The 26,906-nt window shown below is 52.5% G+C and overlaps 1 protein-coding gene across 4 annotated transcripts in view, besides 3 other annotated features; it reads left to right on the forward strand.

The window, feature by feature from the left end:
- Window positions 1-26,906, forward strand: part of NECAB2 (N-terminal EF-hand calcium binding protein 2) — a 37,600-nt gene that overhangs the window by 1,400 nt on the left and 9,294 nt on the right. Inside the window, exons 1-6 of one of the 4 annotated variants that reach the window (NM_019065.3) lie at window positions 1,668-2,273; window positions 5,575-5,599; window positions 11,868-11,976; window positions 14,263-14,288; window positions 14,454-14,551; window positions 23,918-24,054. In NM_019065.3, coding sequence (NP_061938.2) covers window positions 2,073-2,273; window positions 5,575-5,599; window positions 11,868-11,976; window positions 14,263-14,288; window positions 14,454-14,551; window positions 23,918-24,054 — 596 coding nt within the window. In that variant the 5' untranslated portion in view covers window positions 1,668-2,072. Of the gene's footprint in view, window positions 1-1,667; window positions 2,274-5,574; window positions 5,600-11,867; window positions 11,977-14,262; window positions 14,289-14,453; window positions 14,552-23,917; window positions 24,055-26,906 lie in introns of those variants that run through there. The other 3 variants (NM_001329748.1, NM_001329749.2, XM_047434240.1) reach the window with 3 other exon arrangements.
- Window positions 1,544-1,733: a silencer, noted in NCBI's record as "silent region_7772". NCBI's record gives its function as "represses an Ori minimal core promoter by ATAC-STARR-seq in GM12878 lymphoblastoid cells {active_cell/tissue: GM12878}" and the evidence as "EXISTENCE:reporter gene assay evidence [ECO:0000049][PMID:35858748]".
- Window positions 6,882-7,383: an enhancer, noted in NCBI's record as "H3K4me1 hESC enhancer chr16:84007063-84007564 (GRCh37/hg19 assembly coordinates)". NCBI's record gives its function as "activates a minimal SCP1, AML or CMV promoter by ChIP-STARR-seq in naive and primed H9 embryonic stem cells {active_cell/tissue: H9 hESC(naive and primed)}" and the evidence as "EXISTENCE:reporter gene assay evidence [ECO:0000049][PMID:30033119]".
- Window positions 7,588-7,882: a silencer, noted in NCBI's record as "tiled region #13657; K562 Repressive DNase matched - State 20:ReprD". NCBI's record gives its function as "represses a minimal TATA promoter and a strong SV40 promoter by Sharpr-MPRA in K562 cells {active_cell/tissue: K562}" and the evidence as "EXISTENCE:reporter gene assay evidence [ECO:0000049][PMID:27701403]".

Raw genomic sequence — 26,906 nt, forward strand, 5'->3', positions numbered from 1 at the left:
GAGGGCGCTGCAGCCCCGCCCCCTCCGCAGCCTGTCCCAGGCCTCCCTCCTCTCTGTTCTGCCATGCGGCCTCCTTTCAGTCCCTCCTGCTGGCCAGGTCTCTGCCTGCCCCAAGGCCTTTGCACAGAGAGTCCCCAGCCCAGGACAGTTTCCCGCCTTTCTTTAACTCCTTTTCCTTGGGATGTCTCAGCATAAGAATCACTTCCTCTAGGAAGCCTCTTCTGACACAAACCCCTCCACTGCCGTCACAGCAAATACTCCTTTCATGGTCTAAGGTGCTACCTTTTCATAGCAGTGCAGTTTTTTTTTCTTTTTTTTGAGACAGAGTCTCATTTTGTCACCCAGGCTGGAGTGCTGTGGCGCTTGGTTCACTACAACCTCTGCTTCTGGGTTGAAATGATTCTCCTGTCTCAGCCTCCCAAGTAGCTGGGATTACAGGTGACTGCCACCTCGCCCAGCTAGTTATTGTATTTTTAATAGAGACGGGGTTTCACCATGTTGGCCAGGCTGGTCTTGAACTCCTGACCTCAAGTGATCCGCCCTCTTTGGCTCCCCAAAGTGTTGGTATCACAGGCATGAGCCACCACACCCTTCCAGCAGTTCAGTTTTAATTGTTCATTTGTTTGTGGAATCATTTCAGTGTTTGGCTCTGCCCACTTGGATGTAAGCTCCAGGAGCTCTGGGAGACCAAGTACACCATCTGTTTTGCCCATTGCTGGAACTCCGTGGTTGGGCACCTGCCTGGCACCTAGTGGGTTCTCCTTAATTCATCTTTTAAATGGATGGGTGGATGGATGGATGGGAGGATGGGTGGGTGGGTGGACAGATGGATAGATGAGAGGATGGTTGGATGGATGGGAGGATGGTGGGTGGGTGGATGGATGGATGGATGGATGGGAGGGAGGGGGGTGGGTGGGTGGGTGGATGGATGGGAGGGAGGATGGATGGATGGATGGGAGGGAGGGAGGATAGATGGATGGATGGAAGGATGGTGGGTGGATGGATGGGAGGGTGTGTAGGTGGGTGGATGGATGGATGGATGAGAGGGTAGGGGGGTGGATAGATGGATAGATGGGAGGGTGGGTGGGTGGATGGACAGACAGATGGGCGGGCGGGCAGATGGATGGACGGATGGATGGATGGATGGATGGATGGATGGATGGATGGATGGGAGGGTGGATGGATGGATGGATGGAGGGTGGATGGATGGATGCCAGGGAGGGAGGATGAGTGGGTGGGTGAATGGATGGATGGATGGGAGGATGCTGGGTGGGTGGATGGATGGATGGATGAATGGTTGGGAGGGTGGGTGGATGGATGGACGGACAGTCGGCCGGCCGGATGGATGGATGGGAGGATGGGTGGATGGATGTATAGATGGATTGATGGACGGGTAGGCAGGTGGATGGATGGATGGATGGATGGACGGACAGGTGGGTGGGTGGATAGATGGATGGGTGGATGGAGTATGAAGGAAAGATGTTCTGGGGTGAAGACTGGTTCTGGGCGTTTTGTAACCAAGGGGGCGGCCTGAGGGGGCGTGCACGCCCGCGGGAGTTAAGGATGGGCGCCCGCGGGCGTGACGGGGCCGCGGGGCGTGGGCGCCGCTCCCCGGGGCTGGAGCCGGCAGAGGGCGCTCCGGGCTCGCTGGACACCCGCGCTTCGGCCTCTGCTGCGCGCCGCGAGTGGGAGGGGGGACTTTAGAAGCGGGGAGAGCAGGAGACTTTTGGGGAGCAGGCCCCAGGGGCGCCGCCCCGCCCCCAGGCCCCACATACCCCTCCCCTCCGGGTAGCCCCCTCTGTGGCTGCGCCCGCGCCCCTCGCCCCGGCGGGCAGTCCTCAGGCCCCGCGCCCGGCCGGCGGGGGTGGGGGCGGCGGGGAGCGGGCACGTGGCTCGGGGTCCGGCCGGCCCGCCCCCCGGCGCCGGCCAGTCCCCGCGGTGTCCGCGGCCGCGGGGGCAGCGGGAGAGAGGGCGGGGCGGCGCGGGCAGCGCGGGGAGGGGGTCGCGCGGGGGCGGGCCGCAGCTGGGCGGGGGTCGGCGGGCTTCCGGGCGGCGGCGGCGGGCGCGGCGCGATGTGCGAGCGGGCGGCGCGCCTGTGCAGGGCCGGCGCGCACAGGCTGCTCCGGGAGCCGCCGCAGCAGGGCCGGGCGCTGGGCGGGCTGCTGCGCTGGGTGGGCGCCAGGATGGGCGAGCCCCGGGAGTCGCTGGCCCCCGCCGCCCCCGCGGACCCCGGCCCAGCCTCGCCGCGCGGGGGCACCGCCGTCATCCTGGACGTGAGTACGCGCCGGCCGGGACCCCCGCCGTGGCCTCCGCTGGGACCCGGAGCCCCCTCCGCCCCTCGGGCGGACCCCGACGCCGCGACCCGCGAGGCCCTCCCTACCCGGGCAGGAGACCCCCGGCCCCTCCGCGTGCCGGAGCGGGAGCCCCCAGCCCCGCCACGTCCAGGCCGGTCTCCAGCCCAGTCCTCTCCCTGGACCGGGAGACCCCCCTCCTCCGCCCCTCCACCGGCGCTTCTCGGAGTCCCTGCCTGCCCACAGTGGGGAGCCGTGAGCCCCCGGACCCGGCCACTGTCCCCCTAGTTTTGTCCAAGCCAAACCCCCACCCTTTACCCCGCGGGACCGGAGCCCCTCGCCGCGTCCAGCCGCCTCCTCCTCTCCATCCCGGATCCTGTCCGGAGCGATACTTTTCTGAGACCCCTAACAACCCCTACCTCTAGCCCACCTCTCTTCGCCCTAGACCCTGAGCCCCCGTTCATCTCACGCTCAAAGACCCTTTGCCCCAGCTACTGCCACTTTAAAAGTGAAGCCCCCTCCCCACCTTCTGTCTTCTCGTCTCCTTTCCATTGAGCCAGAGCCATCGCCCATCAGCCCTGAGCTGGTACCCCTCTGGTCTTCCCCACCCCGCCCCCTTCCATTCCAAGTCCTCTGTTCCCTTCCCCACACCCCTCTACCCTACAGAGAGCTGGGTCCTCTTCATGGACCAGACTCACCCCTCACCCCTCCTAACTCCCCTGGGACCCAAATCACCCATCTCTGGGAAGCCCACCTCACCCTCCCACCCGCCCCACCCGGGAGGGAGGAATCTTCAGGGGGCGGCTCGGAGGAGGAGGACTTCTCCCAGCAGAGAGTGCTAGGAGGAGGTGGAGGAGGCTTCTGGGGATGTTGACTGCGTGTTTCAGCGAGGGTCCTGCTGGGGTGGGGCTGGGGGCTGCCTCTGCCTGTGTGGTGGATTTCTGGGAGAGTGGTGGGTGTGTGTGAATGTGCACACGCGTGTATCGCGGATCCCTGTGAGTCGGGGGATTCCCTCCCTTCCTCTCTCCTCTTCCCTGCTCCTGGAACCCTTGGCCGGGGTCTGGGCTGGGAGGGCCGGCCAGAGCAGGGGGAGCTCTAGAGTGCCACACTCGCAGGCACACATTCACACACTCACGCACTCGCTTACGCACGCACACACAGCCAGAGACACACCCATGCAGCCAAACCATCCCCTCCTCAGGACCCCCGCAGAGCTCCCACTGAAAGTCCTGGGCAGAGCCCTGCAGCCCCAAGCTGCCCTGCATGGAAGCCCTGCCCAGTCAGGGTGGGGGCTCTGAGGTTCCATCTCCTCACCTGCCAAAAGGAGTGATGAGCGGGGGGTGGGGCGGGAGGTGCTCATGCAGACTCCTGGAGCTGGCTGACATTACCAGGTGTCAGCCCTGCCATGTCACTCATGTGTTCAGCATTCCTGCCCAGAGCCGGCACCTACCTGGTGCCTGGCCTCAAGGGGGATCTGGGACACCCAGATAGGGACCCCAGTTTTGAGGAGCCTTGCCCAGTCAGGAACGGGGCTGCGGGGTGCCCAGGCTGGATCTTTGAGGAGGGCTTGGGGATCTGAGGTTCAGCCAGGAGGAGGGGTGATGTTTGAGAGGCCCTCCCATAGCTGTGCTTCAGTCTCACCGCCCAGGTGCCTAGAAATGACCAAGGGTGCCCCCTTTCTCGTTGCCTGGAGGGATGGGGGGCGAGGGCATCTGTCCTTTACCCCAAGGCGAGGACAGAGGGTGGAAGGGTCAGAGTGAGTATTACCTCCTCCTCCTCCATGGCTGACCTGGCCCCAGCAGCCCTCCCTGGTGTCGGGAAATGTGTACATGTTGCTGCCTCTCCCTGGGTCTCAGTACCCTCCTTGTTAAAACAAGCCACTGAGATTGGGGTGGGGGCCACCGCAGAAGCTGGGATCCTTCTCAGGCTTTAAAGTGCTGGTGGGCAGGGCGCCGTGGCTCACGCCTGTAATCCCAGCACTTTGGGAGGCCGAGGCGGGTGGATCACCTGAGGTCAGGGGTTCGAGACCAGCTTGACCAACAAGGTGAAACCTCGTCTCTACTAAAAAATACAAAAATTAGCCAGTTGTGATGGCGGGCGTCTGTAGTCCCAGCTACTCGGAAGGCTGATACAGGAGAATTGCTTGAACCCGGGAGGCAGAAGTTGCAGTGAGCCAAGATCGCGCCACTGCACTCCAGCCTGGGTGACAGAGCGAGACCCCATCTCAAAAAAAAAAAAAATAGTGCTGGTGAATCAGTCCCCGTGGGAACTGGTTACAGTGAAAGGTCTGACTCCACTACAGTGCAGAGTAGGTGGGACATCCTGCATTGCAAACAAGCTCCTGCAGGACCCAAACAGCTCCTGTGAATAGCAAGGTCTTAGCGCACAGGTGTCAACATTGGGCCTGGGAGGCTTTAAAAATGCTGAAATCAGAGTGGGCCTCACAGCAGCTGATTCAGTCACCCTGGGGTGTGGCCCGGGCTGAGGAGGTTTTGAAAGCTCTCCAGGCGATGGTGTTGGAAGGGGCGGAAAGCTGCCTTCGAGCCTCAGCCTGGCAAGCAGCACCTGCCAGCCAGACCTTGAGGAAAGGGGAGCAGCTCTGTCCCACGGATTCAGATGTCACTGGAAAGGCAGAACGAGGAGGCACCTGGTCTTGTAGGTTCAGGCCAGCCTTGGAGCTGCCCTCCACCCATCCCTGCCTAATGCAGCCGGAACTTCGTCTGCGGCTGCTTTTCTGAACTCTTGGCGTCCTGTTTCTCCTCCTGCACCCCAAAATTAACGCAGTCCTGCCCGTGGCTGGCATTGTCACCAGGCCTTGCAAACACCTCTGTCGGACTTTGCCCAACCTCCCTGGAAACACACCAGGGGTTTTGGAAGGACTGCAGTGGTAAAGGTTGTGGCGCTCCCTGGGACACTGATTCGGAGTGTGGTTGTGTGCAGCTGAGCGTTTGGCGGTGGGTGAAGCCACGTGGACTGATGACTGTGGACCTACACCTGCAGGGATGGCCGTGGGCCTGCGTGTGTGTGTCAGCGTGGCTGGGAGCAGGCTGGTGGTACTGGCAGCCGCTTCCACGTGGGTGAGGGGAGGGCCTCTGTCTGCAACATCCCTCATCAGTTCCCCCTGGATCCCAGCCCGGGGAGGGGGAGAGGGAAGGGGGGCTCAGCTTCCCAGGACCCTAAGCTGCTCCTGGGAGAAGAGAAGGATCCCAGTATCCGGTCAGAGGCTGCAGGAAGCGCTTGCCTCTCCCTGGCCCAGGGCTGACTCCGCCTCTCTTTTCTGCAGATTTTCCGCCGTGCGGACAAAAATGGTGAGTTTCCCTTCCAGGCCGACGGCCGCCCCACTCCTTCTGTCCTCGTGCTTCATGGGGAAGGGATCAGGGATAGGAGACAAGCGCAACCTTGAACCTAAAGGTTTGGAGTGCAGGGGTCTGAAGTTAGAAGGCCAAATCCTGCTGCTGCTCTGTGCCTTGACCTCCCTGTCTGTAAAACGGGAATCCTAGTAGGGCCTACTTAGTAGGGACAGCTCCACTCAAGGGCTCAGTGAGTCTTGTCTGTGATGCCAAGAACAATGACTGGCCGTGGTAAGGGCTGGGTGTACTTTAGGCCTTTTCCTAGCTGGGCTGGACCAGAGGAGCCCGGGCTGGGGCCCAGAAACCCTCCTTGAAAGGAAGCCGCCAGCCTCACGCTAGGCCCTTCACAAGCCTTGGTGCAGTTCTTCATCGTAGCAACCTGAGCAGTCAGTGCTCTTGCCTCTGTTGACACCATAGCAGCCCAGAGAGGTTAAGCAATTTGCCCCAGGGTTGCCCAGCTGCATGAAGGAAACGGAGGCTCTCCTGAAGACCGGGGCCCTTTTCCCTTTCTCTCTCAGCCTCTTTAAAAATGTGAGCAGCGCCTTGTTGTGGCCACGGAATTCATAGCGCTCCACTTCTCCCGACTCCTTGGAGGGGCTTCACTTGCAGAAGGAGCCCAGGCCTTGAGAGAATAAGCACGTTTAGGCGGCCCAGCTGAGCCTCGGCTGACAAAAAGCACCTTCTTAAAAATACCAGAATCATTATTACAGTTGCAACGCAACTCACCGTGGACTTGAACCAAGACAGATTCCCTCTCTGGGCCTTGGTTTTCCCGTGGGTAAAGTGGGGCAATAACACTTGCCCTGCCTCCTTCCCTGGGTTTTGGGGAAAAGCCAGAGAGGCGGTGTGGGTGACAAATGTTTTTAAAGAGAATCGCGTGCTCCCGGTATGTTCATTCATTGAGAAAATGCACATCAAGTACCAAGCCTGTGGCAGGGGAAGAGCACGCAACAGAGACCCTGTGACCTGCCCCAGGGCCCTTGGTCCCCAACGCCTCTGGCCCCGGTTCCTCTCCTGCACAAGCTGCAGTTGAGGGTGGCAGCTCTGGCCTGGGTCTCCAGCACCCGCCTCATCCCTGGGAGTTCCTGTTGACGGCTCCCACCCAGGGCGGTTGCAGGGTGGAGTTGGAGGCCTTGGGCATGGTGGGAGGGCAGGTGCACAGGCCTGGGCTGGAATCAGTTCCAACGAGTCTCCCACCCTGGCCTCCTGCATCCCTGGGGGGTGACAGTGACCACTCCCAGGCCTCTGGGGAAGAAGGACCATCAGCAGTGATTCCATACGGAGCAGAGGAGGAATAAGAGGGACGTAGGGAGATGAAGTGGCTCTGGAAAAACAGCCGTAGCATCATGGCCTGAAAAGCCTTGGAGATGAGGAGGGGAAATCAGGGGGCTGTCCCTGAGATGGGGTCGCCGGAGCCCTCAGCGTCATTGCCTGTGTGCTGGCCTGGCTCCTCCAGCAGGTTGAGAGGTAGGGATTTGGGTTTGTCCCTTGTCCCGGGCCTGATACCCAGCACACAGTAGGTCCTCGGTAAATGTCTGTAGACTTGGTGGACGTGTTTGTTGGTGAGAGCGTGGCTGTGCGTATCTCGGTGACTCAGCAGCGTGAGGCTGTTGGGAATGCGTGTGTCCAGCGTGGGCCTCTAGCCATGGCTGTGCATCCCGAGTGTGTGTGCAGTTAGTGTGCGTGTGTGGCTTCCTGAGTGTGCAGCTCTGCAGGAGCCACTGCAGTGTATACACTTGGGCAGGTGGTGCCTGGCCCCCTCGGGCACAGATGGGGTTCTGTCCTTGCTGCAGGCTCCCCCCATCAGAGGCCATGTGTCCACCCCCTGAGCACAGCTGTGGGACTCTCAGTTTCCTTACTGCAGCCTCCTCAAAGGCCGAGCCTGTTCCTTCTCCTTGGGGCTTACATCTTACCAGCCACCACTATGTGACCGTTAGGGGCTGTCACCAGGGTGAATGTGGGTGTGAGATGCGGGTTCCAGCAAGAGCTTCCCAGGTCCCCCAGCCTGACTGCCTAGGCTCAAGTCCTGGCTCAGCCGCGTACCGGCTCTGGCCTCAGGCAAGTCACCAAATTCTGCAGTCTCAGTTTCCTTATCTGTAAATGGGAATAATTACAGCACCCACCTCAGAGGGCTGTCTGAGGATAGATAGTTGCTCTCCTGGCTTCGCTCATTGAAGATATCAATAAGTCCCCGCTGCTCTGCCTCAAATGCCTCGGAAATGGGAGTCCGCAGGTGTGGCTTGTCCAGAGGGGTTTGATTCCTCTGTGCTCAGCAGGGAATTCGGTCTGGGGGAGGCTGCCAGCAGTCACTGAACGTCTGTTATGCACCAGGACTTGAATGTGCTTTTTCCTTTAATCTTCATTGTGATCCTCCTGAGACAAGAAGTATCAACCCCCACCCTCCTTCCAGATGACGAAAACAAGGCTCGGAGATGGCACGTGATATTCTTCACATGGTCGGGGGGCAGCGGTGCAGGCAGGTTCTGATTCAACACAGCAGCTTAAAAGCTTGTAGGAGTGGGGATGGGACTTGGTGTGGGTATAGATAGGGGAGTGGTGTGGGAATAGAATGGCTGGGGAAAGAGGAATGAGTGTAGGGGTGAGAATAGGTGTCAAGGAGGTGTGGATCCAAGAATGAGAGCAGGTGTGCAGGGAGGTGTGGGTGCAGGGATGAGAGCAGGTGTGCAGGGAGGCGTGGGTGCGGGGATGGGAACAGGTGTGCAGGGAGGTGTGGGTGCAGGGATGGGAACAGGTGTGCAGGGAGGTGTGGGTGCGGGAATGTGAACCGGTGTGCAGGGATGAGAGCAGGTGTGCAGGGAGGTGTGCAGGGATGAGAGCAGGTGTGCAGGGAGGTGTGGGTGCAGGGATGAGAACAGGTGTGCAGGGATGAGAGCAGGTGTGCAGGGAGGTGTGCAGGGATGAGAGCAGGTGTGCAGGGAGGTGTGGGTGCAGGGATGGGAACAGGTGTGCAGGGAGGTGTTGGTGCGGGGATGGGAACAGGTGTGCAGGGAGGTGTTGGTGCGGGAATGTGAACCGGTGTGCAGGGAGGCGTGGGTGCGGGGATGGGAACAGGTGTGCAGGGATGAGAGCAGGTGTGCAGGGAGGTGTGGGTGCGGGGATGGGAACAGGTGTGCAGGGATGAGAACAGGTGTGCAGGGGGTGCAGATGTGGAGGCCGATAGGCCCACAAGCACACACAGGACTGCTCAACACTGACGCTAGCCCTGCCTCACGTGTCCACAGGAAGGATGGATGGGATGCCTCAGGGGAGCGGGAGATGGGGTGCAAACTCAAAGGACCCCCCAGGCTGCCCTTAGGACTTAGAGATTACAGGAACAAAGGCTCAGGGCTGCCCTGTCAGGGTGGCTCCTGTGACAGAGACTTGTTTGGCTGAGCTGGATACCGGATGCCCAGTCCCTATGGGAAGGTTAGCATGAGGGGCCTGACTGGCAGCCTGGGACATAAACTCAGGGGGTGGCAGAGGGCTGAGTGGCAGACAGCATTTCCCTTCAGGGACATGGACGCTGACAGGCTGACAGGCTCTTGGCATTTGAAAGGTCATGGAGACAGAGAGTGAGTTTGTGCTAATTAGCAAAGACACCTGCAAACGGCCCGCTTGGGGTCTCTGGCAAAAGTGCCAGCGCGGGCCCGCTTGGCCTGTCTAATTGGACTGGGGGCCTACGTAGGGCATGTTTTTTCCTCATTAGTGAATTCATTAGGGCCGTGATCAGGCGTTCAGGATAAATGTCAGCCGAAAGCTTAGTGAGGGGGCACCTTGCTGGCCTCTGTCTGCCTGCTCTCCCTGTGTGCCGAGGGGGCACCTTGCTGGTCTCTGGCTGCCTGCTCTCCCTGTGTGCAGAGGGGGCCCAAGGTACCTGGACAGGCACGTGGGGAGATGAGCCAGCCAGAGGGAGGCTGGGATTGGGGCTCACAACCCCTGTCATGCCCATGGTGACTGCCCCTCACCCAAAGTGGGGGTGCCTGAGCCAGCACCCACCCCCTGCTGGGTAGGTGGCGATGTCGCCACAAGATCCTACCCCTGGATTAGGTTGAGAGCCTGGACTTGGGAGCCAGATGGCCTGGGTTCAAGCTTCAGCTGTAGGACCTAGGCAAGTACCCTAAGGGCTCTGTGCCTCAGTTTACCCCTCTCTAACATGGAAGTGGTAGTACTACCTGTGTCGTGAGTGTTAAGAAGACTAAAGGAGTGAGTCCGTGGAAGGTACTCCACGTGTGGTGTGACTCCACACTGGGATTCCTGGGTTTTATCTTCAGGCTTGCCGAAGACACTCGGAAGGCATCCTCTGTCACAGAACACAGAAAGCAACAACTTCGATTTCACTTATCTCGTGGCTGACTTTGCGGACTTTTAGTTGTTAGGTTTTGGGTCTTTGGTTTGTGCATGTGTGGTTGGATTGGGGTTTTTTTGGCCTTTCCTTTGAAAGACAGAAATTCTTCCCACTGTAACCTTGAAATCTGAGCTGCGATGGGGGCATCTTGGGATATTGGCCCTAGCCCCCCGTGCCCACACGTTCATATTCTTTACCGGTCTCTGATACTTTATGCTCTATGGGGTTAAAGAGAAAAGTGGTGGCATGAAACCTTGGCAAGATCTGAGGACCCCCCCTCTCCTGAGCTTATGCTCTCACCCTGTGTTGAGCTCCAGCAGAGCTGCTGGGAGCACAGACAGAAGCACTGGAGCCTTTAAAGTTTAAGAATGACTCATTCTCAACCCAAGTACGTCTGCCATGTCGGGTTAGGCAGGTTGTGCGCTGCACAAGGGCACCCACCCGAGGAAATGGAGGGTTTCAAATCCAGGCTGCAATCCGCTTTCAACACATGTGCACTGACACTGGTCTCATCCTCTCGGCAGAGAAAGGAGAGTCTTTTTCTAATCCATAGGAAGGTGCCATGTGGACTCTCAGGGCCCTTGTCCCAAGCACCCAGCTTTGAATGCAGATCCTCTGGAAGTAATGCCAGGGGTTTATGCAGAGAGGCTGGGGGCCAGGAACTGTCATGGGCTCCCTCTTGTCTCTGACCTCCATGCCACTCACATAGTTTCTCTTAAGGAGGAACAGATCCTTGAGGAGGGGGGAGGTGGCTGCAGGGCAGGTGGGGGATGAGCTTGCTGGCATTTGCTCAGCAGGTCTGTTCAGGTGGAAGGAGCTGAGGGTGGAAGCTTAGGGACCGCCTCCCAGAGTCCCTGATGTTCTTAAGCCACCTCCCCTGGTGGCCCAATCTGATCCAAACCCACAAGACCTTCCTGGTAGGGCCAAAAGTGTCCCCAGAGCAACTGCAAGTGAAGGGAAAAGGTGAGGCGATGGGTGGGACTGGTGGCATGTGTCCCACCCATCCCTCCACAGAGCCCCTCCACAGAGGAGCTGTGGAGGCCCCTCTGTGGAGCTCCACCTCAGAAGCACAGCCTCTGGCCAGAGCGTTGGCACCTCCAGGCCTGGCACCTCCTTCCTGCATGGCTTGGCATCTAGATGGCTGCATCTGTGGCCTGGGAGAGGAGGTAACTGAGAACCTCATGCCGGCCATTGGCAGCCATCTCATGCTGCCTCAGGGAAGGACCTGAAGTTTGCCACATAGATGGGGCGGAGAAGAAAGGGTTCTTCTGTACTCTAAGAACAGTGCTGAGAGAGTCAGGGCTTAGGGGCTGGGATTGGGGTTGGGAGCATGCAGAGACCACTTGGCGTTTGGAAGCTATGGAGTGGTGGCTCATCCAGCTGCTGGTTTTTGGATCCACTTCATACCGATGGTGTGACATGGGACAAGTTGCTCACAGTGGGTTATCTTAAATAGCACCTGCCTCCAGGTGGCCATGTAAATTGAGAGAAAATTCACTGGCAGGGGGCAGATACTCTATATTTGTTGAACGCATGGAAAATGTTGAGTGCATGGTGAGCCCAAGAAAGCTAGCTATTGCATTATTGTTAGTTTGAGGATTATCTGTAAACAGGCATTGGTCTGGGAATTAGCTGGATGAGGCATGATTCTCTGTGTACTGGAGTTTACTGGTTAGTGTGGGAATTAGCTGGGTGGGTAGGGATTATCTAAAATGGAATTTGTCTTTTAGTTTGGGGATTAGCTGGGAGGGTAGGGATTATCTGAGCTGCAGTTGTTCTGTCAGTCAGGCCATTGACTGGATTTGGGGGCCGTGCATGCACTAGCCCCACCAGCCTTATCTCTGCAGACACCAGCTCCTTTCTCTGCTTCCTTCCTTGCAGATGATGGGAAGCTGTCCTTGGAGGAATTCCAGCTCTTCTTTGCAGATGGCGTCCTTAATGAGAAAGAACTGGAGGATCTCTTTCACACGATTGACTCTGACAACACCAAGTGAGCTTCAGTCCTGGCTGGCAGAGTGGGGGTGTGTGTGGGCTGTGGTGGAGGCATCTTTTCATCTAGTGTCCGTTCCTAGTCCCCTGTAAGGGGCAGGAGAACTGAAAATCCCCAAATTTGCTAATCCAGAAGTCAGCTCTTCACTGCCTGGGGTGAATGGGGCGTGTGCAGATTCATATTGCATTGGCTACTATCGCAAGTGTGTCTTCTGAGTGCACATGGCCAACTAAGGAGAGACTCCTGGTTTTGCACAGTGGACATGGGATTATGAAAATGGGAAGGTGGCAATGACTTCATCCTTCTGCCATCTTCAGCCAGCAGCCAGTTCTCACCCCAACCCCAATGCCTGTGTGTCCTCCCAGTCCCAACATTAACTGTGAGGTTGAACGTCATCCTAACACTGACTCCTGTGTTAAACCAAACACGAATCCTAACTCAACACTACGTCTATCATTATAGCTTATTAAACCTTTTCTCCAACCCAGTCATAACCCTGACCTGCATCTCAGAATCAGCCAAAAACTCTGTCTCCACCCATCTCTAAATCAAGTGGAAAATGCAGATTCTACTCAGACTTACCCTTGACCCTTCCCAGCCTCACCTCCAATCTTGCCCTTTTCTTGGGATTCCCCAGACAGGATGAGGTCTGAGCCCTCTCCTCAACCCCACCTTCAGGAGGGATCAGAGCCCCACCTGGTCTCCTTTCTCAGGCCTACTCGCGTGATGAGGACCCAAGCTTCTGGAGGGCTGCTTAGGGCACATTTGGTAAGCGGAGGTTCTCTGAGACTGACTAGAGATGGTCTGGACAAGGAGCTACCACCAAACCAGTGTGCAAGGGGTAGAGTACAGTGGTGGTTTGGACCAGAGGCTGCGGCTGAGAGAGTCCTGGGGGGCACTGGCTGGGGACCGGGATATGGTAAGTGGAGCAGATACCATCCTCTGGGAAAGGCCACTTTAAAGAAATGGCTTCAGGCTCCAGACTGCAGAATGGAGAACTGTCTGGGGCCAGATGGAGATTTCTGAGCTGTTACTGCAGCTTCCTGGGGTGCTTTGAAGGGGCCAGGCAGGTGCCCATTGATTTAGACCTTCTCTTTCAGGGCCTTTTGTGTTAGGACCAGCGGGGTAGAGGAGGGGGTGGAGGCGGAGGGAGGAGGAGGCACTGGTTTGAGAGTCGAACTGTGAGAGTACGTGTGGGTGGGTGGGGGTGCAGGGAGGACTCGCGGTTATGGAAGGTCAAAGCTCTATAAAGACTTTTAGGATTAATCTCCCCAACATTACCTAAGGTGTGAGCCACGAACATTAGCCCCTTGGGATGCTAAATAGACTTTGTGCCCAAAACAGTGTACAAACCATCAAAAAGTTTTGTGAAACATGAATTAAAGCAGAATGACAGGGTCGCTTTCTGCAGGACTTGCCAGAACTCTGAATATGAGATGGAGGTTGGAGGCACCTCCTGACAGAGCATGCAGAGCCCCCGAGTGCAGATTCACTGGGCCACAGAAGCCTTCTGTCCAGATGTGCTTTGCTGAGCCTGGGCTCCACTGAGCACGATGAGGGACCTAGGCCCAGAAAGGGCCACCACCGTATTGGGTCCCTTGCACATTGACTTGGCAGTAGCTCCTTATCCAGACCATCTCTAGCCAGTCCCAGAGGGCCTCAGCTTATCAAATCTGCTCCTAAGCTGCAGAACCACCATAGTTCCCAGCACTGCACCCCTTATCTTGGGGCCGGTCTGTGCTCCTTCACTGCCATGGGGGATAGGCTCATGCTCAGCCTGCTCCCCCAAGAAAGGACAGGACCCTTCTCCAGGCTGTAGGAATGGGGATATGGGACCCAGGGGCTGCGACCAGAACAGGAAGGGCTCTGCCACAACCCCAGGAACTCCAGGACCCAGCAGGCAGGGTCGACTGGGGGTGGGTCAGTGGGTCAGATGAGAGCTTTGCTGACAGCCCGTCACAGTAATGGGTCCCCACTCTCTGTCCCTTTACCCCTTTCCTGGCCCCCAGCTTGGCCCTCCCCTTGGTGTCATTTATTCATGATGGGGTCAGCAGACTCCGAGAAAACAGAACAAGGGTGGGTGGTGTGGGGGATCAGACAGACGTGGGCCTTCAGGGGCGGGGGTGTCACCTACCTGCTGCACCCTCTTCTGTAAGGCGGAGCTTGTGGGGCCAGCACACAGGCTGCAAAGAGCAGGCAGGATGTGTGTTTCGCAGGCTGTGCAGGGTCAGGCCTGCTAACCCCCTCTCTGTCTCTGTCTGTCTCTGCCTCTGTCTGTCTCTGCAGCCATGTGGACACCAAGGAGCTGTGTGGTAGGTGCCTGGCTATGCTGGGACCAAGATGGGGATGCTGGGATGGGGCTGGATGAGAAGGGCCTGAGGCAGGGGAGGCTGGAGGTAGCGCAGGTGGGAGGTGCAGGAGTGCTGAGTGGGAGGGGCAGGACCTGTGACCCCTGACCTTTGCCTTTCCTTCCCCAGATTACTTTGTGGACCACATGGGTGACTATGAGGATGTCCTGGCCTCCCTGGAGACCTTGAATCACTCTGTCCTGAAGGCCATGGGTTATACCAAGAAGGTCAGTGGGTGTAGGTGGCCCCCGGGGTCCAGGGCTCCAGTGCTGCTTCAGTTCCACCCTTGCCTAAGGATGCCTGGATTTTTGAAGACAGGCCGCCAGGGAGGCCTATCTCAGGGGTGGGCTTTGCCTGGGCCTCTTTGAAGCAGCTGAGATGAACTGGGAAGGGAATAGAATGGTTTGGTGAATGGCTCTGGTTGGGAGCAGGAGGCATTTTCCCGGAATCAGGCCTGATCCTGGGCTGGGGCCTTAGAAAGGGTGGCCGCAATCACCCTGTGCCCTTAAGGGGTCCCCAGACAGGTGTCGTACCCTTCAGGGTGGGCTTACAAGACTGGAAGAGGGGGCGGGGTGGGGCGTGGTGGGGGGTGGTGGTTCATGCATCTGAACCCTGTCCCATATCAGGTTCTCGATGCTCAGCACCTGGTTTAATCCTCACAGCAACCCTATGGGTGGTTGCTGTCACCTCCACTATCTCACAGCTATGGAAACAGAGGCTCACAAAGGTGAACTCAACAGAGTCACAGCCAGACAGCCATAGCTGCTGGCTGGGATGAGTGGGGAAACTGAGTCAGGGACCTGGCAATAGGCATGGGAGTGTAGCATGAGACTCCAGGCACACCCAGGAGGCAACTGGAGAGTCAGTCATCCAGGAGCAGAGAGCAGCCATAGGGCACACTGGTCCAGGCCCACGGTGAGGGAACTGGGAGCATGCAAGGGTGAGGGACCCACAGGTGCTCGAGGCAGCAGCCACCAGCACCCTGAGCTTTGGGAGTCCAGAAAAGCCCAGCCTTGTCTGCCGGTTGAGGCCGGGGAACTTAGCTGATAAAGCCAGCCAGACCTGGCTGAGGGATCTGAGCTGGTTATTTCCCTTTCTGAGCCTCAGTTTTTCCATCTGTGAAATGGAGACATCCACCTTATGAATTACGAAGTCCTTCAGAGATTGAGCCAAGTAAGGCCTCTGAGCTATTGAGCATGCAGGACCAAGCTCGGAGCAAAGGCACCTGCTGGTTTGTATCAATACGCTCCTACTGTACGCTCAGCCAGATATTAAAACCCATTCTGTGCAATTTTCCCATGCTTCTCAGTTAGTGACCGCCATGTATTAGACAGTCTCTGTTTTGCCATATATCTAACAATAGTTGGGCCTCATTCTGGGCCTCCACGATTCCACATTTCCATTTCTGTCCCAGTATCATGCTGTTTTGAGTCTTGCTGTTTTAGAGTATATTTTAATACCATGTAAGACCTGCTCCCTTCAAGTATTAATCTTTGTAGAATATCGTTTGATATCCCCAAGTATCAAGGTATAGGCGGTGGATTAGAAGGTAGCATGGGAAGATCCCAGGCTTCCGAGTCACCCAGACAAGGGTGGCAATGCCAGCTCTGCTCCAAACAGGCTGTGTGAGGTCACCATGTGCTCACAGATGACCCTGGGAAATGGAAACCACCTCCTTGAGCCTCGGTTTTCTCACCTTAGAAGGGGCCCACGTCCTAGCCATGCTGTGAGGCATTCGTAACATCCATGGTTGCGTCTTGGTCTTCAGTCAGACTTTTCAGGAACATAAGAGAGTTCTCCATCAGTGTCTACTGATACAAGTTAGACCGGTTTTAGAGATCTTGCTCTTGGAAGTCATGTGCGTATGATGTCAGGGGTGGTCTTTGGTGGTTTTTTTGTGGCAGTCGTGGTGATGATAGGTTGTTGCATCCGTGATTGGCATTTCCTTTTTTTTTGTTTTCTTTTTCTTTTTCTTTTTCTTTTTTTTTGAGACAGAGTCTCACTCTTGTCCAGGCTGGAGTGCAGTGATACAATGTCGCCTCACTGCAACCTCTGCCTCCTGGGTTTGAGTGATTCTCCTGCCTCAGCCTCCCGAGTAGCTGGGACTACAGGCGCCCACCACCACTCCTGGGTAATTTTTGTAGTTTTAGTAGAGACGGGGTTTCACCATGTTGGCCAGGCTGGTCTCAAAGTCCTGACTTGAGGTGATCCGCCCACCTCGGCCTCCCAAAGTGCTGGGATTACAGGTGTGATGTGATTGGCATTTCTTTTGCTTGCGTATTTCCTAAGTGGTTTTTGTTTGTAGAAATGCAGCTTGTCGGTTGTTGTTTTGAATGCTTTTCTTGTATGTGCTGTTTGCTTTCGTCAAGCCGCAGCATCAGTTATTAAGAGTGCCGTTGTCTCTGCATTCTAACACGTGCCCCTCTTGCTTCCCTGTCTATCCTGTGGCATTTCTCTCATGTTCTAAAACGTCGTGGTGGGGCACGGCCAGGCATGCTTGTTTGGCTCCTGATTTTCGAGTGCATCTCTAGTACTTCTCTGCTGATTATCATATTAATACCAGCTCTTATTTTAGAATCCTTGTCAGCATGTTGGAGAAATATTTTTGCATTCCCTTTTTTCCATTTTGTCTTAGGAGGGTGGTGGTGAATTTTTTCAAATGCCTTTTGGTATTTTTAAATGATCATATGATTTTTTTCCCCTAAGCTATTGATGGGGTGGATGCTATTTTTAGATTGTCTCAAATTGAACAATCCTTCGCTCCCTGTGATAAACCCTAATTGGTATATTATTCTTTTATCACATTACTGAGTCCTTGTCATGAGCCAAGAATTTTATCTCTGTCTCCATTGGGAGTGGAGATCGGATGATAGCTTGGGAATGATTTTGTGAAGTGGTTTTGAATGTGTTCTGTGTATGAATCAGCTTCTCTAACATAGCATCATTTTTCTACGTAAAAATAGAATTTATCCATAACGCTTGGGTCTCAGTGTTAAACAGGGGAGGGGATGATTTTCATAGTTATTTTAAGGTCATCTCTACTTTTAGTCAACTTTTTCACTTGTCCATTGTAAAATACATATATATATATGGTGGTTTTTTTTTTTTTTTTTTTGACGGAGTCTCGCTCTGTCATCCAGGCTGGAGTGCAGTGGCACAGTCCCAGCTCACTGCCAGCTCCGCCTCCCGGGTTCACGCCATTCTCCTGCTTCAGCCTCCCGAGTAGCTGGGACTACAGGCGCCCGCTACTACGCCTGGCTAATTTTTTGTATTTTTAGTAGAGACGGGGTTTCATCGTGTTAGCCAGGATGGTCTCCATCTCCTGACCTCGTGATCTGTCCTCCTCGGCCTCCCAAAGTGCTGGGATTACAGGCGTGAGCCACCGCGCCCGGCGGAATATTTTTAAACAAAACTGCCCTGGGCATAGTCGTTTTTACAATCAGTCATGCATGGAATGTTTTATGATTATTTTTAAAAATCTAAAACATTGTTTGACACACGCAGGCACTTAATGCACATTAAGTTCAATAAAAGATCTGCTGCCGCTCACGGTGGCTCACGCCTGTAATTCCAGCACTTTGGGAGGCCGAGGCGGGAGGATCGCTTGAGCCCAGAAGTTCAAGACCACCCTGGGCAACATAGTGGGACCCCGTTTCTACCAAAAACAAAACAAAACAAAATTAGCCGAGCATGGTGGGATGTGTCTGTAGTTCCCACCTTCTTGGGAGGCTGAGGTGAGAGGATCTCTGGAGCCTGGGAAGTCGAGGCTGCAGTGAGGCACAGCATGCCGCTGCAACCCAACCTGGGTGACAAGAGAAACCCTGTCTCTCAAAAATAAAAAAATAAAATGTGCTGCTGTAGCTCACATCTTAAGTTTCTCCCATTTTTCTACATTTTAAAACCTTGTATTTGACAGTTTTGCCTGTTTTAATTAGCTGTTTCAAATAACAAGCTCCTGGCACATTTATTTAAATTTCATGACATGTTTTCTTATTTATTTATAGCTCCTATCATTATTATTTCCTCCCTCTTATAACTTTAGGTTTGTTGTTTTTGCTGTTCTTTTTCATATGTGAAATGGAATGGTTTTTTTGATAATGTTGACATTTTTAAAATTTACTTTTGATGGGGGCTGGGTGCAGTGGCTCACGCCTGTTATCCCAGTACTTTGGGAGGCCGGGGCGGGCAGATCACCTGAGGTCAGGAGTTTGAGACCAGCGTGGCCAACATGGTGAAACCCTGTCTGTACTAAAAATACAAAAATTAGCCGAGCGTGGTGGCAGGCGCCTGTAATCCCAGCTACTTGGGAGGCTGAGGCAGGAGAATCACTTGAACCCGGGAGGTGGAGGTTGCAGTGAGTAGAGACTGCGCCATTGCACTCCAGCCTGGACAACAAGAGCAAATCTCTGTCTCAAAAAAAAAAAAAAAAAAAAAAAAAAAAAAAAAGGTTACTGCTGGGTGCGGTGGCTCACACCTGTAATCCCAGCACTTTGGGAGGCCGAGGCAGATAGATCACAAGGTCAGGAATTCAAGACAAGCCTGGCCAACATGGTGAAACCCCGTCTCTACTAAAAATACAAAAATTAGCTGGGCGTGGTGGCAGTTGTGTGTAATCCCAGCTACTTGGGAGAGTGAGGCAGGAGAATGACTTGAACCCGGGAGGTGGAGGTTGCAGTGAGCCGAGACTGCCCCACTGCACTCCAGCCTGGGCAACAAGAGTGAGTCTCCATCTCAGAAAAAAAAAAAAAAATTACTGTTGGCGTTCCCATAGCAATCACAGATGTTAATGTGTAGTATTTTCAACCTATTATTTGAGCAGCCTGTTATGTTCTCATTTATTTTTCAGTTCATTGTATTAAGATAAAATTGAATGACCAGAAAGGTTTCTACTCTATTTTTTTAATGTACTGAGATTTTTCCATTACATTTGTGTTTGTTTTTGTAACTACCTCATGAATGCTTAAGACGATGTGGATTGTGCTTGCAGAATTAGCAGATCTGAAAACAGCTATCCTTTCTTCGTTATGAAATACGTGCTGCTAAGAGGTACTTTTTTAAAGGTAAAATTATGTCTCTTCTGCAGGTATTAAAATACACATCAAATATTTTTTCTTGTTTCTTTTTTTCTTTTTTGATACGGAGTTTCTCTTTCGTTGCCCAGGCCAGAGTACAATGGAGTGATCTCAGCTCAGTGCAACCTCTGCTTCCTGGGTTAAAGCGATTCTTCCACCTCAGCCTCCCGAGTAGCTGGGATTACAGGCGTGCACCACCACGCCCGGCTAATTTTTGTGTTTCTAGTAGAGACGGGTTTTCACCCTGTTGGCCAGGCTGGTCTTGAACTCCTGACGTCAGGTGTTCCACCCGCCTCAGTCTCCCAAAGTGCTGGGAGTACAGGCATGAGCCACTGCGCCCAGCCCAAAGATTTTCTCTAACTCAATATGAGAATCAGTAAGATACTGGAACTGGCTCAAAGGAGAATTGAAAGAACTTGTGCACTAATACATAGGTAAATAGCAATTCCGAAATCAGTTGGTGAATAAATGCATGAATGGTCACTATCCCAGGGCAACAACCAATTGCCCTGTGGAGAGTGCCAGACAAACTTCCTGTGCATTTCTGTATAAGAGATAAAGACGGGGTCTTGTTGTGTTGCCCAGGCTGGAGTACAGTGGCACAGTCATTACTCATTGCAGCCTCAACCTCCCAGACCCAAGTGATCTTCCCACTTTAGCCTTCCAAGTAGCTGGGAACACAGGTGGGTGCCACCACTCACGGCAAATTTTTTTTTTTTTTTTTTTTGGTAGAGACAGGGTTTCCCTATTTTGCTTAGACTAGTCTCAAACTCCTGGGCTGAAGCAATCATCTCCCCACCTTGGCTTGTCCAAGTGCTGGGATTACAGGCATAAGCCACCATGGCCAGCCAGAAGAGAACTCTTTGAATTATTATAAATGGTCTATATCCACAGAGTTTTAAAAGTTGCTCCAGGGAGGGTAGGAGTGGGGTTAGGGTTGAAACATTACCTCGTAGGTACAATGTTCAATATGTGGGTGACGGGTACACTAGAAACGCAACCCCCACCATGACATACCCATGTAACAAACAGGCATAAGTACCCTCTGAATCTGAAATAAAAATAATAAAACATAAAACCCAACTTTCTGTCCTTGGCTTCCCTCCTGTAACAAGTTCTCAAATCCATCTTTCAAATAAATAAATGTTGGAAAACAAAACAAAGTAGCTCCTGAATAAGGAAAGACTTAGATAAACTAGAAAAAATAGTAAACTTAGAAAAACAAGAAACCCAAGAGTCATTTTTGCCCATTTCAGAGACTTTGACTATTCTTTCTAACAGTGCCCTTTGCGTCCTTATTTATTATTATCTAATGTATCTGTTCTGTGAGACAGTGGTTAGCTAATTTCTCATACTAAATTGCGTTTTGTCATTAAATCTTTGTGTTTCTAATGGTTTTCCTTTCTAATTTTTAGCCATGTTGTTTGACGCATATAGACTTTTGTTACAGTACTTCTGTTATATAATGGTACGTAGTTGATATGCAAAATTTAGGGAGTAAAGTATAAAGAAAATTCAAATCGCTTCTAATTCCCACTATCCCTAACCACTGGTAACATTTTAGCCTTTTTTTATGTGTATTTCTTAAATTTATAATCTGTGTTCAAAAATCTATTTCCTGCTCTTTTACCTAATTTTTTAACATTTTCCCTATGTTACTAAAACTTTTCAAAAGCATCATTTAAAATATTTTAGTGTACTTATTTTTCCTCTTTTGTTAGGTATATTAGATTATTTCCAAGTTTTTGCTATTATGAGTATTACATAGTTAATACCTTGTGGCAAACATAGTTGTCCATATTTTGCACTATTTCTTGAGGATAATTTATCAGAGTTGGGGAATTACTGGGTTAAAGAATCTGAGCAGTTTATGGCACTTGACATAGAGCAAAATGGCTACATAAGATGGCTGTAAGCATCGAAGTCCCCATAGCTATATTCTGTGTCAGTACATGAAGATTTAATAATGGCACGTCTTTGTTATAACTTTATGCCTTTTATCATTATATTCCTACCTTTCTTGGGCAGTACTTTCTCATTTAAATTCTAACTTGATAGTGATATTGTACCTTATGCTGTTCAATCACAGTTGGTTACTGAATCTTTACACAGGCTTTTCTTCATAAGTCCTTTGTGCTGCTTTGGTTTAGGTGCGCTTCTGATGGACCTTGTTTAATCAGATCTGGGACTTTGTCTTTATACAAGGGAATTCGGGCCACCTTTTTTATTATGATTGCTTTATTCGGTCTGACTGTTGTGTTTTATTCTTCCCTTTTTTTATGCTTTCTTCATCTCTTTTACATTTTACCTTTTGGTGGTCTGCCCTGTTTATATCATGGATTATGATTTGGAATGTACAATTCCTAGTTTTCACTTCATCAGTTACTTTAAAAAATACATTATTATTAAGATTCTTAATCCTATTTTTATACTTAGCTAATTAACACTTTCTCTTCCCTTTGGGAATAAAAATAATTTTTAAGATTTTAGGCTTTTTTCCCCTATGCTTTATTGACTAAATCCAATATAGTTGAAATTAAACCATTAGTGGTTAATGTTTTTATTTCCTAACCTCTGTAACCTGAATGTTTAATTTGAGTGATCGCTGTTAGTTCTTGTCATAACTTCCCCATATGAAGAACTCTCTCTAATTCAAGCCCAAGTGACTTAGGACAAACTCTTAAGCATTGTTTGCAGAAAAGGTGCTCATCTGGTAAAATTTCAGAAATTTGCAGGTTTCTGGAGATCTCCCAGTTGTTCTACAAATGAGTAACTTGTCCACTGGATGCAAAATTTCTCCACCTGAGCCTTTCCCTGTGGAGTCTGTGGAGCTGGTCTCTTGTCTGAGGCAAGCTCAGTCCCCCCCCATTATGTAATATACCCATGTAACAAATAGGCACGTGTACCCCTGTGTCAAATCTGGGGTTGTATCTTTACATGGGGGAATGTAGGCTGCTTTTCAGTTGTGGAGGAGAAATCAGGAAAAGCTTCATTTTTTACTCCCCGGAAAATAACTTGTCTTCTTTGGAATTCAGCTAACCAGTAACACTTATTGATCGCTGACCACATCTTCAGTCACTGGTCCGGGTGCTTTTAACACACTTCAGCCCATTTTTCTGCTGATCACTTCTAGCAGCCTTTTGCTTTGTGTTTAAATATTTTACCAAGTTATGTCTTCATGTCCGTTTTTGGCCATTCGCGTGTCTGGAGTCTGTTGATCACTGGATCATGTGTGGTTTTGGTCATTGCCATTTATTCAGCTGCGGGAACCTGCCAAGCTGTAAGAACCTGACATAGTTTTGGCCATGTACTCTGTCAGGGTCTGTCCCCAGCAGACCCTGGTCTGGCTGTCGGCTTGGTGGCTTGGGTCGCCCACCTTCACCACGCCTTAGCTGTCTTCTCATGTGCCCCTCCTCCTCCTCTGTTTCTCAGTCTGTCTGTCAGCCGTGTTTCCCATTGTGCAATTATTGCTAATTAATTCCCAGTCAGAGTGATGGATGGTTTAATTTGCTTTCCTTGAGAGCCCTGTTTTTCCTTGCCTTGCCAGGGACTGGGCAGAAATCCAAGGTGCCTGGGGCAGGTGGCTTGGGAAGGCGGGGTCTTGGCAGAGGAGGCCAGGAGAGCAGGGCAGGGTTTGGGAGACCCAAGATCCCCCAACACAGCATCATTTTCATCATCCCGTCCTTGAGCGACGTGGGTAAGCAGAGCTTTCTCCCTTCTGCTGTAAAGTCTTTGCAGCCCAAAGCATCTCCACTGGATCCAAAAGCCTTGAGAAATGTCCTTGCAGAATCTCAGGACAGAGGTGGAAATTCTGTTCCACACCACAGAGCAAAACTTGGAAAAAACTTTCTTTTTCGTCTTTTCCCCAGAGTTCCGCTAAGACTCCCTCTCTGATTTCCCCCCAGGCTCCTCTCTGGCCACCTCCTTTTGATTACTAAGCCCCGGGCACTTTCCTCCCTTCAGCTGCTTTTGATTCCGTTTTGTCATTTTCCTTAGTAGCAGCCTGGAGATCCAGGAGCCCTAGGAATCCTCCTTGCAGGAGGAAGGAGGGAGGGAAGGTCGTGGATTCTTCTTGCCTGATCATTATCCTTGTCACAGCAACAACAAAACTACCAGTCACTATCACTGCCACCATCACCGTCATCTATATTGTAGCACCTACTGTTGATTGAGTCTTTGCTGTGTGGCAGGCCCTGTGCAGAGCATTGTACACGCATGTTGCTGTTTAATCTTCGCTACAACCTTGTAAGATAGATGCTTCAGTGACCCCATTATACTCTGGGAGGTCACAGAGCTAGTAAGTGGTGAAGCCAGGGTTCAAATTTGGTCTCTAAACCTCTAGCCTCTGCGTTGGAAATGCTACAGCCTCTAAGACTGGACCCCAGGAGGCCGTGGGGTCCTCCCTTCCCTTTGCAAAGCAAATTCACCAGCACCAGCTTTCCCCCAACTCCTGTGCTAGACCCCACCTCCAATTTCCCTCCCACCCCTTTCCCCTCAGTGCCTCTTCTCTTCCTTCCACAGGTATATGAGGGTGGGAGCAACGTGGACCAGTTTGTGACCCGCTTCCTCCTGAAGGAGACGGCCAATCAGATCCAGTCGCTGCTGAGCTCAGTGGAGAGTGCGGTGGAGGCCATCGAGGAACAGACCAGCCAGCTCCGGTGAGTCTCTGAGACCCTGCAGGGTCCCATGGGGGTATGCCGTGCACGCGCACGTGCCCACCTGCTGCTTGGTGGGGATGTCTGTGTACCTAAGAGCTGGGTGACCTTGGGCAAGTTGCCACAGCTCTTTGTGCCTTTGGTGCTCCATTATGTAATATAGGCACAATTATATACCTAAAATCTCAGCCATTGCAAGGATTGAATGAGATAGTAAATGCTCAGGAGAATGCCTGGTGTACATATTTATTAATACAGTGAAGACACCATTTCCCAGACTCTAATTTGTTTTGCTGCATCCACATGCTAATTGTTTATGCAGAACTATTCTGTTGTTTGGCCCACGTTTTATTTATTTATTTATTTTTTTGTTTTAGACAAAAAGTGTCGCTCTGTCGCCCAGGAGTGCAGTGGCGTGATTTTGGCTCACTACAACCTCTCCCTCCCTGGGTTCAAGCAATTCTCATGCCTCAGCCTCCTGAGTGGCTGGGACTGCAGGTGTGTAACACCATGCCTGGCTGATTTTTGTATTTTTAGTAGAGACGGGGTTTTGTCATGTTGGCCAGGCTGGTCTTGAACTCCTGGCCTCACGTGATCCACCTGCCTTAGCCTCCCAAAGTGCTGGGATGAAAGGTGTGAGCCACCACAGCTAGCCTATTTTCTCTTTCTCTCTCTCTCTTTCTTTCTCTCTTTCTCTCATTCGTTCTTTTTTCTTTTTCTATTTCCTTTTCTTTTCTTTTCTTTTTTTTTTTTTTTTGAGATCGAGTCTTGCTCTGTCACCCAGGCTGGAGTGCAGTGGCGAGATCTCAGCTCACTGCAACGTCCGCCTCCCAGGTTCAAGCGATTCTCCTGCCTCAGCCTCCCTAGTAGCTGGGATTACAGATGCCCACCAGCACACCCAGCTAATTTTTGTATTTTTAGTAGAGATGGGGTTTCACCATGTTGGCCAGGCTGGTCTTTAGGGTGATCCACCCGCCTCAGCCTCCAGGTGCTGGGATTGCAGGCTTGAGCCATGGAGCCCGGCCTTATTTTATTTATTGACACAGAATCTTGCTGTGTCCCCCAGGCTGGAGTACAGTGGCACCATTGTGGCTCACTGCAATCTCCAACTCAGGTTCAAGCAATTCTCCCACCTCAGCCTCCCAAGGAGCTGGGACTACAGGCATGTAGTCCCACCCACACCCAGCTATTTTTTTTTTTTTTTTTTTTGTAGAGACGGGGTCTCGCCATGTTGGCCAGGCTGTTCTCAAACTCCTGGTCTCAGCAATCCTGCTGTCTCAGTCTTCCAAAGGGCTGGGATTACAGGCAGGAGCCACCACACCCCAGCCCACTTTTGAAAATTAGAAAGCAGTTTAGGAAATGGCATATGGTTATAACTGCACTCTCGGCATCACATGCCGTAAGTGAAGTAACTGTAAAAATAAGCACCTGTCATTGTTTACGATCCAGCTTGAATCCTGAGGCTTGCCACCTCTCTGTTAAAAAGAGAGACTGGGGGGAAATCAGAGAGGTGTTGAAGACAGTAGTAGCAAGTTGAGAGTTTCTCAGGAGGACTGAAAGAGACGTGAAAGAGGAGTGTTTCTTTCTGGTCTTGTGTTAGGCCTTGTTTGTGTGCTTGGAACCATGGGAATGCATCTGGGGTCCCATCCTAGGTGGTGGCTGCTGTGTTAGGGGTGTGACCTGGTATTTAGAGAGGAGCGACATTCTCGTGGCTCAGCAGTCCCATCTCCCGGGGAACACGAGCACCCGTCCCCCCGCCCACCTCCATTTGCTGTTTCAAATTGAGAAAAACCCTTCTTTGCTCAGTTCTTCCCAGAACAGCTGATGTGCTTGACACAGAAGAAAAAGAGAAAATGCAAACAGATGAGGGAAACAGCCAGGTGTCGGCACCCAAGCTCGATTGAGCCCTTAATTTTCCAGGCAGAGAGGTACCTCAGGACCAGGATATTGGTTTGCTGGGGGACTGGGGTTTGATCGTGTGTTTCTTCGTAGTTGAAGAGCTGGTCCTGATCAGACATGATTGTGAAGGTAACTCTGAGACACTGTTTCCCAAATGAGTTTGATCTGAGCATTTGCGCTGAATCACCTGGGAAAATTAAAATACACATTCCTGGGCTCCTGGCCATACTCACTGGCTAGAATCCCTGGACTGGAGCCCAGAACTCTGCACATGTGGTCAGTCTTGTGATTCTTGGGTGCCCCAGAATTAGCAGCCATCGCTGTGAAAAAAGCTGACACTTAGATTTCCTGGGTTTTCCTGTTACTATCTTGATGAAAAACTTGCTGTTTTTCTCCTGCCGCAGAACAGATAGTATGGCTGCGCAGTTTTCAGGGCAGACTTCCCACACTGGGTCAGCTCCATCACGCGTCAGCAGTTACACCCACCTGCCCCCATGGTGGGGACCTTACTTGGGGATGTTGTCAGACGGGGCAGCTTGTCGTGATACCTCTGTTCCACACATGCCCCTCCCTCGAACTTCCCCAAATCTCAGCTAGTTTGGCTCTAGGCTGTGGGTCCCTGAGGACTATCCTGTTTCCCAGCCCCAGGACAGTCTCCCAGGATGTCACCTCTAGCACAGGCTACTGGCTCAGACCCCACCACCCGGGAGCCCTGAGCAACCCGTCATGGTCTGAGGGATACATTTAATTTCCTGCTGGTTTATAGAGAAGCCATGATTGACACCATAAAGACTCTGCCAGCCTCTCCCCTCCCAAGGCGGGAGTCGAGTTTGCTCCCTCCGCAAGGGGGAGAGCCTGGCGGAGTGTTCAAGGTTCACAAGAGACAAATTCCAGAATGCACCAAGACCGCGATGCACAGAGACCAAGCGGGTGTTGGGGCCGTGCACAGGGCACTC

Source organism: Homo sapiens, chromosome 16 (assembly GCF_000001405.40).
Source record: "Homo sapiens chromosome 16, GRCh38.p14 Primary Assembly".
Lineage (NCBI taxonomy): Eukaryota > Metazoa > Chordata > Mammalia > Primates > Hominidae > Homo > Homo sapiens.